The following is a 16516-nucleotide window of genomic DNA, read 5'->3' as shown; positions in this document are numbered from 1 at the left end:
TCAGTATTTGCTATTTTTTTTGTCTTTTTGATAATAGCCATTCTAATTGAGGTGAGATGATATCTCACTGTGGTTTTGATTTGCATTTCCCTGATGATTAGTGATATTGAGCATTTTTTCATATACCTGTTGTCCATTTGTATGTGTTCTTTTGAGAAATGTCTGTTCAGGTCTTTTTTCCCCATTGTTAAATCAGAATATTTGGGTTTTTTTTTTTTTTTTTTTGCTACTGAGCTGTTTGAGTTCTTTATATATTCTGGTTATTAATCCCTTGTTGGATGGATACTTTGCAAATCTTATCTCCTATTCTGTAGGTTGTCTCTTTACTATGTTATTTTCTTTGTGATACAGAGGTTTTTTTAGGTTAATGTAATCCTATGTGTCTATTTTTGCTTTTATTGCCTGTGTTTTTGAGGTTTTACCTGGAAAAATCTTTGCCCAGACCAATGTCCTGTAGCACTTCCCCAATGTTTTCTTCTAGCAGTTTTATATATTCAGGTCTTCCATTTAGGTCTTTAATCCATTTTGAGTTGATTTCTGTATAGGTGAAAGATGAGGATCTAGTTTCATTCTTCTGCATATGGATATCCAGCTTTCACAGCACCATATATTAAAGAGACCATCCTTTCTTCCACGTATTTGGTGCTTTTGTAGAAAATGAGTTGGCTATAAGTGTTTTGGCTTTCTTGAATTACTTTACTACTGTGCTATGCTATAGCTCCCTGGGATAGGATTACTGGAGCAAGATATATACATCACAATATATTGCCTTATTACTTTTGATAATATCAATGCCTTCTTAAAATGAACACATGGAACACAATCTAAGCTCTTCTGTATAATTTGGGCCATTTTCATGAACCTCAATTTTTTATATAGTGCCCATGAGACTACTGAAGTATGTGGATGGTTGTGCCCTCACAAAGAAGCCCCAATCCACTGGTGTTGGGGGTCATTTAAGGACTGTGGCCACTTACCCTTTTCTGTTGTTGTTGTTTTCAGCTGTAATTTCCGCTTAGTCTGGTTTGCTGTTTGTGATCTATTGCCTTGTTTTACACAAATCCATATGGATAAGATCCTGAAATCCTGACTGTATTTCCATAGTTTTGCAAAGCATAAAATGAACTGGGTTTTCCAGAAACATTTCCCTTCCCTACCATAGGGTACCTGAATACAGTCTGAGCACCAGACAGCCCTAGTTGCGAGACGTTTAACTGGTGGGTGAGTGAAGTGTTAATCCGGTAGTTTTATCACGGAGAGGTTTAAAATGTGATTTAAAAGTATGGTGTGAGGCTGCAGCTATATAATTTCATGTCATTCTAATTTTTCTCCTTCCCCTTGCAAAAACTCCAGCCCCTTTGAGGCTTATCCTACTCGGATATATCAAGAAGCCCCGTTCCTCCTTGCTGCTGTCACCTACTAATTTCTTAGTATTTCCTCACAATCACAGAAGACTTAGCTGCTGCTTCATTCCAGTACTCACCATTGTTCTTGACAGTTTCAGCATCCCGTGGATGATCCACACAATGTGAGTCCTGAGATTACTGTAATAAATGGAGAAGGCTGTAAATTTTTATTATTAGTGGGCTTTCTGTTTGATAGATTTATTTTATTATGTTAAGAAAGTATCTTTCCATTCTGTATTAACTAAAACTTTTGTCAAAAACAAAAATAAGTAAACTCTATTTTATTAAATGCCTTTTGGCATATGATACCAAGATAATCATATATGGTTGTTGGTGCTCCCTGAGGACCAGTGTTGATGGAACTAATTATGTTAATTGAAATCCTAATATCTAAGCATCCTTGAGTTCATGATGTGATCATTCCTACCCCATCTTAGGGAGGGCAGTTAATAAGTCTTATGTGTTCTAAATTACTCAAAACTGCTTTTCCTTCACTCTCCCTTTATCCCACCCCTCCCTGACCCACCCCCTGTGACAGGCTCCTCCATTAAGAATATGCCTTGTCGGCCCCCAGGGCTCTGGCAAAACTATGTGTGGAAGACAGTTGGCAGAAAAATTAAACATTTTTCACATTCAGTTTGAAGAAGTTCTTCAAGAAAAACTACTACTCAAAACTGAAAAGAAAGTGGGACCTGAATTTGAGGAAGATTCTGAGAACGAGCAAGCTGCCAAACAAGAACTTGAAGAGCTTGCAATTCAGGCCAATGTCAAAGTTGAGGAAGAAAATACAAAAAAGCAGGTAGTAATCTCTTTTTTTGTTTTTTGTTTGTTTTGTTTTTGCTGTTGTTATTGTTGTTGTTTTTGAGACAGGGTCTCCATCTGTCACCCAGACAGGAAGGCAGTGGCACAATCACAGCTCACCAAAGCCTCAACTTCCCTGGGCTCAGGTGATCCTCCTGCCTTGGTGTATTAGTCCATTTTCACACTGCTGACAAAGACATACCGAGACCAGGCAATTTACAAAAGAAAGACATTTAATGGACTTACAATTAGTTCCATGTGGCTGGGGAGGCTTCACAGTCATGGCAGAAGGCAAGGAGGAGCAAATCACATCTTACGTGGATGGCAGCAGGCAAAGAGAGAGCTTGTGCAGGGAAACTCCCCGTTATAAAACCATCAGATTTTGTGAGACTATTCACTATCACAAGAACAGCATGGGAAAGGCCTGCCCCCATGATTCAATTACTTCCCACTGTGTCCCTCCCATAACATGTGGGAATTCAAGATGAGATTTGGGTGAGGTCACAGTCAAACCATATCACTTGGCCTCCCAAGTAGCTGGGACTACAGGTGTGCACTACCATGCCCAGCTAGTTTTGGTATTTTTTGTAGAGATGGGGGTCTTGCTATGTTGCCCAGGCTGGTCTCAAATTCCTGGGCTCAAGCCATTTACCCACCTTGACCTCCCAAAGTGCTGGGATTATAGGCATGAGCCACTGTGCCTGGCAGTACTAATCTATGCAGACAGCTGTGCTTACTGGTGTTAATCTGGGGTAGTGGTAGTATAAAACTCTATAAAGTTTCTAAGAAGAGAAAATAATTAGCCCATAAAAGTCATTTAAAGAGTCATATTCATCATATGCTAAATACAAATCTTCCAGCTCTTCTAGAATATAAAGTACTGAGTTTTATATGACTCCAAAAAAATTCAGAAAAATTTTCCTTGACAAGGCTGTTTTATAGCATTTATTTGGAAGTATGATATTTGGTATATCTGACTTAGACAATAAACTTTTCCATTATTGTGTTCTCTGATTTCTATCAAATAGCATAAAAATCTGCCCCAGCCTTAGTGGAGATCTCAAAATATTAATTTCTAATGATGTCTTACCAGAAAGTTTGTACTGTATTAATCTGTTCTCTCGTTGCTATAAAGAAATACCTGAGATTGGGTAATTTTTAAAGAAAATAGGTTTAACTGGCTCGCAATTCTTCAGGCCATACAGGAAGCATAGTGGCATCTGCTTGGCTTCTGGAGAGGCCTTAGAAAACTTACAATCATGGCAGAAGGTGAAGGGAGAGCAGACACATCACATGGCCAGAGCAGGAGAAAGAGAGTGAGGTGGGAGGTGCCACACACTTTTAAACCACTGGATCTCATGAGCACTCACTCACTACCGTCATGACAGTACCAAGGGGGTAATGGTGCTGAACCATTCATGAGAAACCACCCCCATGATCCAATCACCTCTCACCAGACCCCACCTCCAGCATTGGGGATTGCAATTCCACATGAGATTTGGGCGGGGAAACAGATCCAAACCGTATTAACCTCTTACATGGCTTCTATCTGGAGTTATACAATGAAAGTTCTTCATTCTAACTCACATTTTAACCATTTCTGATATAGATAGGCCATTTGTTCTCAAATGATCCAAATGCAGTTATATGTAACACTCAAAGTTGAAGCAGGGTTGGATAGTGAGTGACATATGGTGTTCTAATAGGTAATGAAGTACCTGATCAGACATATTCTTTTTTCTTTTTGAGACAGCATCTCCCTCTCTTGCCCAGGCCAGAGTGCAGTGGTGTGATCTCAGCTCACTGCAACCTCTGACTCCTGGGCTCAAGCGATCCTCTCACCTCAGCCTCCTAAGTAGCTGGGACTGCAGGCATGCACCACCATGCCAGGGTAATTTTTGTATTTTTTGTATAGATGGGATTTCATCATGTTGCCCAGGTTGGTCTCAAACTCCAGACTTCAAGTGATCCACTCACCTTGGCCTCCCAAAATGCTGGGATTACAGGCGTGAGCCACCTGTGCCTGGCCTTCAGACATATTCTTTAAATGTTTTTCAGCTATATTTAGTAGCGTTCAGGAGAAACTGATATCCTATTAATTTAAAAAATGTATATCGGGACAGGCACGGTCGCTCACGCCTGTAATCCCAGCACTTTGGGAGGTGGAGGCAGGCAGATCACTTGAGGTCAGGAGTTCAAGACCAGCCTGGCCAACGTGGTGAAACCCCGTCTCTACTAAAAGTACAAAAATTAGCCAGGCGTGGTGACACATGCCTGTAATGCCAGCTACTCAGTAGGCTAAGGCAGGAGAATCACTTGAACCCAGGAGGCGGAGGTTGCAGTGAGCCAAGATCGCACTGCTGTGCTCCAACCTGGGCAACAGAGCAAGACTCCATCTCAAAAAAAGAAAAAAGTATGTCAGTCCAGATTTTTTAACTTAACAAGTCTAGATTTTAAAGTGCAACAAATATCTCCTGCTTGTCTACAGTTTTTTGTTTGGTTTTCTTTTATTGTTTTCTGAATAACTTGTCAGAAAGCAATTAAGGGATTTTATTTTTAGGTAATAAAATTAATCCTGCTTCCCGGTAAGCAGCAGTTTATCATACCTTAGCTATTCAGTTTTAGAATTTTGGATGACAAAAGTACTCAACAAAAATGTTTCATTTTTGTAAGAACTGTTGTTTTTTACTATCCATTCAAGGGTGATCCTACTTTAGAGAGACTTGACCTCAGTTAATTATCACAATGCTTTCTATTTGTTATTACATTATAATCCTCTTCTAGTTTGTATTTCAGATGGCTGCCTGTTTGGCTTATCCCATAATCAGGATCTAGGTTGGAGAGATAATACTGTAAAATTATAATATAAATAACAAAAATCAGTTAAGCCTTATAGGCGTGTGTGTGATAAATTGAAAAAGGTTTAGCAAAAAGTAATGAGATATGACCCCAAGGCCATGTATGAAAATCAATCATATTATTACTTATAATTTATCTTAGCTGTAGTAAATATTATTTACTATAGGTTGGTGCAAAAGTGGTTGTGTTTTTGCCATTACTTTTAAAGCAAAAACCGCAATTACTTTTGTACAACCTGTATTTCTAACCACATTAAATAATTGGTTTATAGAAAATAGCCCAAATTTTTAAATGTTTATAAGCAACACTATAAAAAAAGACCTCAGAGAAAATAACAGGTCTCATTCTAATCAGCTACGTAATACCATATTGTTTATGAATATAGATTTTGGGGTTTTCTAAATTGGTATTTGTACATATTTATGGGGTACCTGTGATATTTTGTTACACACATAGAATGTATAAGGATCAAGTCAGGGTATTTATGATATCCATCACCTTGAGCACTTATCATTGCTATGTGTTGGGAGCATTTCAAGCCCTCTCTTCTAGTTATCCTGAAATACACAATACATTGTTACTAACTATAGTTTCCCTCTGTGCTATTGAACATTAGAACTTACACCTTCTATCTAACTGTATGTTTGTACCCATTATCCTGCCTCTCTTCATGTCCTCTATCCCTACCACACACCCTTCCCTGCCTGTGGTAACTTTCATTCTACTCTCCACCTCCATGAGGTCCTCCTCTTTAACTTTCACATATGAGTGAGAACATGCAATTATTAGCATAGAGTTTTAAAACTTGTTTTGTTTTCTGATTTTTGTTTTTAGCTTCCAGAAGTACAACTTACAGAAGAAGAAGAAGTAATCAAATCAAGTCTAATGGAAAATGAGCCCTTGCCTCCTGAAATTCTTGAAGTAATTCTTTCTGAGTGGTGGCTTAAGGAACCAATACGGTATCTTAATTTATATAGAATTGTACATTTATTTGCTTTTATTTGTTTTATTCTTAAAAGTTAAAAATGTAGTTTAACATACATTTAAGAACTTTCTCCTTTATATTCATGTAAGCTGGTGATTTTTCACTTGAGATACACATTAAAAACATCTGTAGAGTCTTTAAAAATACCGATTGCAGGACCCCACACCAAAATAATTGAATTTGAAACTCTAGGAGTGTGAGCCTGGGATATTTTTCAGTACCCTCAGGTTATTCTAAAGTGCATTTGTGGTAAAACTGTAAAAACCTAAACAAAATAGCTAAATATTATGCACCATTAAAATTTATTGTAGGGCCGGGTGCAGTGGCTCATGCCTGTAATCCCAAAACTTTGGGAGGCCAAGGCGGGTGGATCACCTGAGGTTGGGAGTTCGAGACCAGCCTGACCAACATGGAGAAACTCTGTCTCTACTAAAAATACAAGATTAGCTGGGTGTGGTGGCACATGCCTGTAATCCCAGCTACTCCGGAGGCTTAGGCAGGAGAATCACTTGAACCCGGGAGACAGAGGTTGCAGTGAGCCGAGACAGTGCCATTGCACTCCAGCCTGGGCAACAATAGTGAAACTCCATCTCAAAAACAAAAAAATTATTATAATGAATAATGTGTAATAGCATAAGAAATGTTATTACATAAAGTTAAAAAGATGTAAAACTATAATATAATAGAGAATGCACACATGAAGAACCAACTAGAAAGAAATAAACTTTTAATAACCTCTGAGATATGGGATTATGGATAATTTTTGCCTTTTTATTAAGGCCTTTCTCTATTTTTTCCATTTTTCTATAGTGTGACTTACTGCTTTTATAATCAAGGGGAAAATAACACATTTTGAAAAGGTTATTGCATTAGTCCCAGAGAGATATACTAAGGGGCTTGAACTAAGGGAGAATTACAGAAATAGAAGTGTGAGTACAGAGGAGGACATGCCAGGACTTAGCTATTAAATGTAAGAAGGAAGAGGGAGCCAGGGGAGAGGGCCAAAGGTCTCTAACAGGTAGCACATGAGTACTAGTGGGTCAGAAGGAAGAGCAGTTTGGAAGGCTAACAGTATGATTTTTGACAGTATAATGTGTGTATAATTCCAGAAGGGCATTCAGATGGAGAAACTCCACAACTTTTTGAAAATTTGGAATCAAAACTCAGAAGAGAGGTTGGGTGTAGAGGTAAAGATTTGGAAGTCATTGACAAAGAAATGACAGCAGGAACAGTAGGAATGAAATTGACCCTGCCAGAGAGACCAGACTGAAGGCACCTCTAAAGAAAAAAACATGGAAATAGCTCAAGTCTACAGCTCCCAGTGTGAGCGACGGAGAGGACAGGTGATTTCTGAATTTCCAACTGAGGTACCAGGTTCATCTCAATGGGGCTTGTCAGACAGTGGGTGCAGGACAGTGGGTGCAGCCCACTGAGCGTGAGCCAAAGCAGGGCAAGTCATCACCTCACCAGGGAACTGCAAGGGGTCAGGGAATTCCCTTTCCTAGCCACGGGAAGCTGTGACAGATGGCACCTGGAAAATCGGGTCACTCCCACCCTAATACTGTGCTTTTCCAATGGTCTTAGCAAACAGCACACCAGGAGATTGTATCCTGTGCCTGACTCAGAGGGTCCCACACCCACAGAGCCTCACTCATTGCTAACACAGCAGTCTGAGATCAAATTGCAACATGGCAGCGAGGCTGGGGGAGGGGCACCCACCATTGCTGAGGCTGCAGTAGGTAAACAAAGCGGCCAGGAAGCTCTAACTGGGTGGAGCACACTGCAGCTCAAGGAGGCCTGACTGCATCTGTAGACTCCACCTCTGGGTGCAGGGCATAGCCAAACAAAAGGCAGCAGAAACCTCTGCAGACTTAAATATCCCTGTCTGACAGCTTTGAAGAGAGTAGTGGTTCTCCCAGCACAGAGTTTGAGATCTGAGAACAGACAGACTGCCTCCTCAAGTGGGTCCCTGACCCCCGAGTACCCTAACTGGGAGGCACCCCCCAGTAGGGGCAGTATGACACCTCACATGGCCAGATACCCCTCTGAGATGAAGCTTCCACAGGAACAATCAGGGAGCAACATTTACTGTTCAGCAATATTCACTGTACTGCAGCCTCCACTGCTGATACCCAGGCAAACAGGATCTAGAGTGGACCCCCAGCAAACTCCAACAAATCTACAGCTGAGGGTCCTAACTGTTAAAAGGAAAACTAACAAACAGAAAGGACATCCACACCAAAACCCCATCTGTACGTCACCATCATCAAAGACCAAAGGTAGATAAAACCACAAAGATGGGGAAAAAACAGAGCAGAAAAGCTGAAAATTCTAAAAATCAGAGCGCCTCTCCTCCTCCAAAGGAACACAGCTCCTTGCCAGCAATGGAACAAAGCTGGACAGAGAATGACTTTGACAAGTTGAGAGAAGAAGGCTTGAGATGATCAAACTTCTCCGAGCTAAAGGAGGAAGTTTGAACCCATAGCAAAGAAGCTGAAAACTTTGAAAAAAGATTAGACGAATGGCTAACTAGAATAACCAGTGTAGAGAACTCCTTAAAGGACCTGATGAAGCTGAAAACCATGGCACGAGAACTACGTGATGAATGCACAAGCTTCAGTAGCCAATTCGATCAACTGGAAGAAAGGGTATCAGTGATTGAAGATCAAATGAATGAAATGAAGCGAGAAGAGAAGATTAGAGAAAAAAGAGTAAAAAGAAATGAACAAAGCCTCCAAGAAATATGGGACTATGTGAAAAGACCAAATCTACGTCTGATTGGTGTACCTGAAAGTGACAGGGAGAATGGAACCAAGTTGGAAAACACTGCAGGATATTATCCAGGAGAATTTCCCCAACCTAGCAAGGCAGGCCAACATTCAAATTCAGGAAATACAGAGAACGCCACAAAGATACTCCTCGAGAAGAGCAACTCCAAGACACATAATTGTCAGATTCACCAAAGTTGAAATGAAGGAGAAAATTTTAAGGGCAGCCAGAGAGAAAGGTCGGGTTAACCAAAAAGGGAAGCCCACCAGACTAACAGCGGATCTCTCGGCAGAAACTCTACAAGCCAGAAGAGAGTGGGGGCCAATATTCAACATTCTTAAAGAAAAGAATTTTCAACCCAGAATTTCATATCCAGCCAAACTAAGCTTCATAACTGAAGGAGAAATAAAATCCTTTACAGACAAGCAAATGCTGAGAGATTTTGTCACCACCAGGCCTGCCCTACAAGAGCTCCTGAAGGAAGCACTAAACATGGAAAGGAACAACCGGTACCAGCCACTGCAAAACATGCCAAATTGTAAAGATCATTGATGCTAGGAAGAAACTGCATCAACTAACGAGCAAAATAACCAGCTAATATCATAATGACAGGATCAAATTCACACATAACAATATTAACCTTAAATGTAAATGGGCTAAATGCTCCAATTAAAAGACACAGACTGGCAAATTGGATAAAGAGTCAAGACCCATCAGTGTGCTGTATTCAGGAGACCCATCTCACGTGCAGAGACACACATAGGCTCAAAATAAAGGGATGGAGGAAGATCTACCAAGAAAATGGAAAACAAAAAAAGGCAGATGTTGCAATCCTAGTCTCTGATAAAACAGACTTTCAACCAACAAAGATCAAAAGAGTCAAAGAAGGCCATTACATAATGGTAAAGGGATCAATTCAACAAGAAGAGCTAACTATCCTAAATATATATGCACCCAATACAGGAGCACCCAGATTCATAAAGCAAGTCCTTAGAGACCTACAAAGAGGCTTAGACTCCCACACAGTAATAATGGGAGACTTTAACACCTCACTATCAACATTAGACAGATCAACGAGACAGAAAGTTCACAAGGATATCCAGGAATTGAACTCAGCTCTACACCAAGTGGACCTAATAGACATCTACAGAGCTCTCCACCCCAAATCAACAGAATATACATTCTTCTCAGCACCACATCACACTTATTCCAAAATTGACCACATAGTTGGAAGTAAAGAACTCCTCAGCAAATGTAAAAGAACAGAAATTATAACAAACTGTCTCTCAGACTACAGTGCAATCAAACTAGAACTCAGGAATAAGAAACTCACTCAAAACCGCTCAACTGCATGGAAACTGAACAACCTGCTCCTGAATGACTACTGGGTACATAACAAAATGAAAGCAGAAATAAAGATGTTCTTTGAAACCAATGAGAACAAAGACACAACATACCAGAATCTCTGGGACACATTTAAAGCAGTGTGTAGAGGGAAATTTATAGCACTAAATGCCCACAAGAGAAAGCAGGCAAGATCTAAAATTGACACCCTATCATCACAATTTAAAGAACTAGAGAAGCAAGAGCAAACACATTGAAAAGCTAGCAGAAGGCAAGAAATAACTAAGATCAGGTCAGAACTGAAAGAGATAGGACACAAAAAACCCTTCAAAAAATCAGTGAATCCAAGAGCTGCTTTTTTTGAAAAGATCAACAAAATTGATAGACTGCTAGCAAGACTAATGAAGAAGAAAAGAGAGAAGAATCAAATAGATGCAATAAAAAATGATAAAGGGGATATCACCACCAATCCCACAGAAATGCAAACTACCATCAGAGAATACTATAAACACCTCTACGCAAATAAACTAGAAAGTCTAGAAGAAATGGATAAATTCCTGGACACATAGAACCTCTCAAGACTAAACTAGGAAGAAGTTGAATCCCTGAATCACCCAATAACAGGCTCTGAAATTGAGGCAAGAATTAATAGCCTACCAACCAAAAAAAGTCCAGGACCAGACGGATTCACAGCCAAATTCTACCAGAGGTAGAAGGAGGAGCTGGTACCAATCCTTCTGAAACTATTCCAATCAATAGAAAAAGAGGGAATCCTCCCTAACTCATTTTATGAGGCCAACATCATCCTGATACCAAAGCCTGGCAGAGACACAACAAAAAAAGAGAGTTTTAGACCAATATCCCTGATGAACATTGATGCAAAAATCCTCAGTAAAATACTGGCAAACAGAATCCAACAGCACATCAAAAAGCTTATGCACCATGATCAAGTGGGCTTCATCCCTAGGATGCAAGGCTGGTTCAACATACGCAAATCAATAAACACAAACCAGCATATAAGCAGAACCAAAGACAAAAACCAGATGGTTATCTCAATAGATGCAGAAAAGGCCTTTCACAAAATTCAACAGCCCTTCATGCTAAACACTCTAAATAAATTAGGTATTGATGGGACGTATCTCAAAATAATAAGAGCTATTTGTGACAAACCCACAGCCAATATCATACTGAATGGGCAAAAACTGGAAGCATTCCCTTTGAAAACTGGCACAAGACAGGGATGCCCTCTCTCACCACTCCTATTCAACATAGTGTTGGAAGTTCTGGCCAGGGAAATCAGGCAGGAGAAAGAAATAAATGGTATTCAGTTAGGAAAAGAGGAAGTCAAATTGTCCCTGTTTGCAGATTACATGATTGTGTATTTAGAAAACCCCATCATCTCAGCCCCAAATCTCCTTAAGCTGATAAGCAACTTCAGCAAAGTCTCAGGATACAAAGTCAATGTGCAGAAATCACAGGCATTCTTATACACCAATAACAGACAGAGAGCCAAATCATGAGTGAACTCCCATTCACAATTGCTTCAAAGAGAATAAAATACCTAGGAATCCAACTTACAAGGGATGTGAAGGACCTCTTCAAGGAGAACTACAAACCACTGCTCAACTAAATAAAAGAGGACACAAACAAATGGAAGAACATTCCATGCTCATGGATAGGAAGAATCAATATCATGAAAATGGCCATATTGCCCAAGGTAATTTATAGATTCAGTGCCATCCCCATCAAGCTACCAATGACTTTCTTCACAGAAGTGGAAAAAAACTATCTTAAAGTTCATATGGAACCAAAAAAGAGCCTGCATTGCCAAGTTAATCCTAAGCCAAAAGAACAAAGCTGGAGGCATCACGCTACCTGACTTCAAACTATACTACAAGGCTACAGTAACCAAAACAACATGGTACTGGTACCAAAACAGACATATAGACCAATGGAACACAACAGAGCCCTCAGAGGTAATACCACACATCTACAACCATCTGATCTTTGAAAAACCTGACAAAAACAAGAAATGGGGAAAGGATTCCCTATTTAATAAATGGTGCTGGGAAAACTGGCTAGCCATATGTAGAAAGCTGAAACTGGATCCCTTCTTTACATCTTATACAAAAATTAATTCAAGATGGATTAAAGACTTAAATGTTAGACCTAAAACCATAAAAACCCTAGAAGGAAACCTAGGCAATACCATTCAGGACACAGGCATGGGCAAGGACTTCATGTCTAAAACACCAAAAGCAATGGCAACAAAAGCCAAAATTGACAAATGGGATCTAATTAAACTAAAGAACTTCTGACAGCAAAAGAAACTACCATCAGAGTGAACAGGCAACCTACAGAATGGGAGAAAATTTTTCCAATCTACTTGTCTGACAAAGGGCTAATATCCAGAATCTACAAAGAACTCAAACAAATTTACAAGAAAAAAGCAAACAGCCCTGTCAACAACTGGGCAAAGGATACGAACAGACACTTCTCAAACGAAGACATTTATGCAGCCAAAAAACACATGAAAAAATGCTCATCATCACTGACCGTCAGAGAAATGCAGATCAAAACAACAATGAGTTACCATCTCACACCAGTTAGAATGGCGATCATTAAAAGGTCAGGAAACAACAGGTGCTGGAGAGGATGTGGAGAAATAGGAATGCTTTTACACTGTTGGTGAGACTGTAAACTAGTTCAACCATTGTGGAAGACAGTGTGGCGATTCCTCAAGGATCTAGAACTAGAAATACCATTTGACCCAGCCATCCCATTACTGGGTATATACCCAAAGGATTATAAATCATGCTGCTATAATGCCACATGCACACGTATGTTTATTGCAGCACTATTCACAATAGCAAAGACTTGGAACCAAACCAAATGTCCATCAATGATAGACTGGATTAAGAAAATGTTGCACATATACACCATGGAATACTATGCAGCCATTAAAAAGGATGAGTTCATGTCCTTTGTAGGGACATGGATGAAGCTGGAAACCATCATTCTCAGCAAACTATCGTGAGGACAAAAAACCAAACACCGCATATTCTCACTCATAGGTGGGAATTGAACAATGAGAACATTTGGACACAGGAAGGGGAGTATCACACACTGGGGCCTGTTGTGGGGTGGGGAGTGGGGGAGGGATAGCATTAGGAGATATACCTAATGTAAATGACGAGTTAATGGGTGCAGCACACCAACATGACATGGCACATGTATACATATGTAACAAACCTGCACGTTGTGCACATGTACCCTAGAACTTAAAGTATAATTAAATAAAAATATATATATATATTATGGCCAATATATGGAAATTTGCTTCCTTACTAAGAAAGGAAAATTCACATTTTTGAATTAACAACTTTGAAGGCTGAAACTGTCAAATGTTCATGAAAGTCCTATTTGTATTAAGAAGAAAATATATATTTAAATATAAATATTAAAAACAAACCAAATTTCAGATAAGCAGGAGAAACAAATTCTACAGGAACCAGTATTGACTCTCTCAATTAAACAAAGCCAAGTTTTCAAAGCTTGGTTGTTTTATAAGTGCTCTCTAATTAAAATAAATTAAAATAAATAAAATAAAATAAAATAAATTAAAATAAGTGCTCTAATTAACATTCCAGTTATTATCCTGATTCTTTTTTTTTCTTTTTTTTTTTTGAGAAGGAGTTTCACTCTTGTTTCCCAGGCTGGAGTGCAATGGCATATTTTCCTGATTCTTAAAGTCTCATCACACGTGGGCAAGTTTGACAATCCCATTTGAATATAATCATCTTGCCCATAGGAACCAGGATACATACATTAACAATTGTCATCAGTTACAAGGAGACCCAGGGAGGTGGGTATGAGTTGTCTCATGAAAGGAAGCACTGTTAGAAGAAAAACTGCCAAAGGTGAGGGCTCCCACTACAATTGGGCTGGCCAGGTGTACTCTTTAAATAAAGAATACCACATTCATTAGGCTGGGCACCGCTCCCAAACAGAGAACTTATTTTCTCTTTTCCTATGGTCTTCTCACAACTTTTAGTAAACTTTCAGTTAATAGTAATTGTCTGTAAACTGATTGACTACAATTTTATATTATAAATATATGTATGGAATATTATAATTTTAATCCAACTTGATATATTTTGAAAAAGAAATGTCACATATACAACTAGAAATATTAAAAGAAATAAAAGAGTAAATTTTTAAACTATTCATTACATACAGATAGTTGATATTTATCAATACTTTTTTTTACTGTATTTTTTTCTTTTAAAATATGTCATTGACAAGTAAAGAATGTATATATTCAAGGTGTAATGATGACTTAATATACCTTGTATAATGATCATTACAGTCAAATTAATGAACACATCCATTACAACATTTTAATGAAATAAAGTAAATTATGAAAATTTCCACCAGTTCCACAGGTTTTATATTAGATGGTTTCCCACGATATCCAGAAGAGGCCCAGTTTTTGGGAGATCGTGGATTTTTCCCAGATGCAGCTGTTTTTATACAAGTTGATGATCAAGATATTTTTGATCGCCTCCTTCCTGCCCAAATTGAAAAGTGGAAACTAAAACAAAAGAAGAAATTAGAAAGGAAGAAACTGATCAAAGACATGAAGGCAAAAATCAGGGTATGTATCTAGCAAAAATGCATTGAATAAATCTGTTCAGCATCTGTTTAGTGATCTATTATAAAGTGATCTTCACAAAAAATATAGTATTCTAATTTTAATACCACAGTAAGCATGAAATATTTTTCATCGAATATTAAGACTATAATAAGAGTTAAGAGTTATTTCAGGCTTTTGTGGTGATCAATGTGTTAATGCTTCTCTCTTTATGGCAAATGAAAGGTAGTGGTACTGCCAAGACTTCCCTCTCCCAGACATGGGAGCAAAGTGGAAGAGGTAACAAACAGAGATTTGAAACACAAAGAAGTAAAATTTCAGAGGTCTTTTTCGCTGCCCCTGGAGCGATGACACCATCCATCAAAGACATGTGAGCCTATAGTGAAACCAGACCAAATTAGGTTAGAACATTGTACCTAAACCTACATTCTGAGGAGTATTCCATAAGATGTTCAAAAGTGTCACAGGGAACCAGCAATTCCACTCCTGGGAATGTATCTAACAGAAATGAAAATATATGTCCACATAAAAAGTTATATGTGAATGTTCATAACCATTATTCATAATAACCAGAAAGTAGAAACAACCCAAATCATCAGCTGATGAATAGAAAAATAAAAGGTGGTATATCCTTAGAATTGAAAAACTACTCAGCATTAAGAAGGAATGACCTATTGATACATCCTGTAACATGGATAAAAATCAAAACCATTGTGCTGAGTGACAGAAGCCAGGCAAAACAGGAGTGCATCCCGTACAATTCCATTTACATGACATGCCCTGAAAAGGCAAACCTGTAAGTCTAGGCTGAGGTAGAAAGAATGGGCTTTTGAGTCTGGACCTAGGATGGCCCAGATGAAGCATGAGAGCAGTGTTAAACGTCTGAAGGGCTTTCATACCGAAGAGAGCTTGGAGGTACTCCACGTGGCCTCAAGGGAAAGAACTACCATTGGTAGGAGGAAGGTACAGGGAAAGTATATTTCATTCTTAGCAAGACATTTCAAAAAGAATCAAGACTGAAGGCAGGGAGCTCCTTGCCAATAAATAAGCATAAACTAGGCGAACATTTGGCAGGGGAGAATGGAAAAATGTGTCAGAGAGCTCATCTATTAATTTCAATTCTGAGATACTAAGACTTAAATTATGTAATACATTCTCACATCTTAACACCAATTAAATTACAGACTGCCAAAGTGTTAAAACCAAGCAGTTCCTCTTTCATTGCTCAGACATCGTTTTCAAATTCTTTTCATCTTGGGGTTAGCCAGAGGAAATCCCTTCAAGGCCATTGCCATCCATTCCTCTCCCTCACCACACTAAGGTTGCATGTCCCAGGCCATCACTGGTCTGCACAGTATCAAGACAGGCAGAGTTCTTAGCCATCTGAGAACTATGGATGTGAGGAGGGAGACGTGGGAAGATACGTGGCTCCACACTGTTCTTGATGACGTTCAGGCCAAACTGTCTGCTATGCGAGAGATTCTGTAAGTATGAGAATGGAAAAGAAAGAGCCAAAGATGAGAGCCTACCAAAGCACATTCATATGTTGTCTCACTGTGGGGCCTGGAATATCTAGGCCAGTGCTAACACAGAAATCTCCGTGATGACAGAAATGTCCTAGATCTGTGCTGTCCTGTACAGGAGCCAGTAGCCGCAGTGGCTGTTGAGCACTTAAAATGTGATTAGTGTGACTGAAAA

General features: G+C 39.1%; 1 protein-coding gene across 20 annotated transcripts in view; it reads left to right on the top strand.

Annotated features, from left to right (window-relative positions):
- The window catches only part of AK9 (adenylate kinase 9), a 198348-nt gene that overhangs the window by 143131 nt on the left and 38701 nt on the right, over positions 1-16516 (top strand). For 19 of the 20 annotated variants that reach the window (XR_942337.3, XM_047418304.1, NM_001145128.3 and 16 more), the window contains 3 exons: positions 1945-2205; positions 5901-6025; positions 14602-14821. Coding sequence is in view for 19 of the 20 variants with exons in the window: in XM_047418304.1 (XP_047274260.1) it covers positions 1945-2205; positions 5901-6025; positions 14602-14821 (606 nt within the window). In the remaining variant the exon portion in view is untranslated. Of the gene's footprint in view, positions 1-1353; positions 1520-1944; positions 2206-5900; positions 6026-14601; positions 14822-16516 lie in introns of those variants that run through there. The other variant, XM_011535559.4, reaches the window with a different exon arrangement.

The sequence above is a fragment of the Homo sapiens genome, chromosome 6 (assembly GCF_000001405.40).
Source record: "Homo sapiens chromosome 6, GRCh38.p14 Primary Assembly".
NCBI lineage: Eukaryota > Metazoa > Chordata > Mammalia > Primates > Hominidae > Homo > Homo sapiens.
The sequence above is the reverse complement of the archived record's forward strand: the minus strand, read 5'-3'. Positions and strand labels throughout refer to the sequence as shown.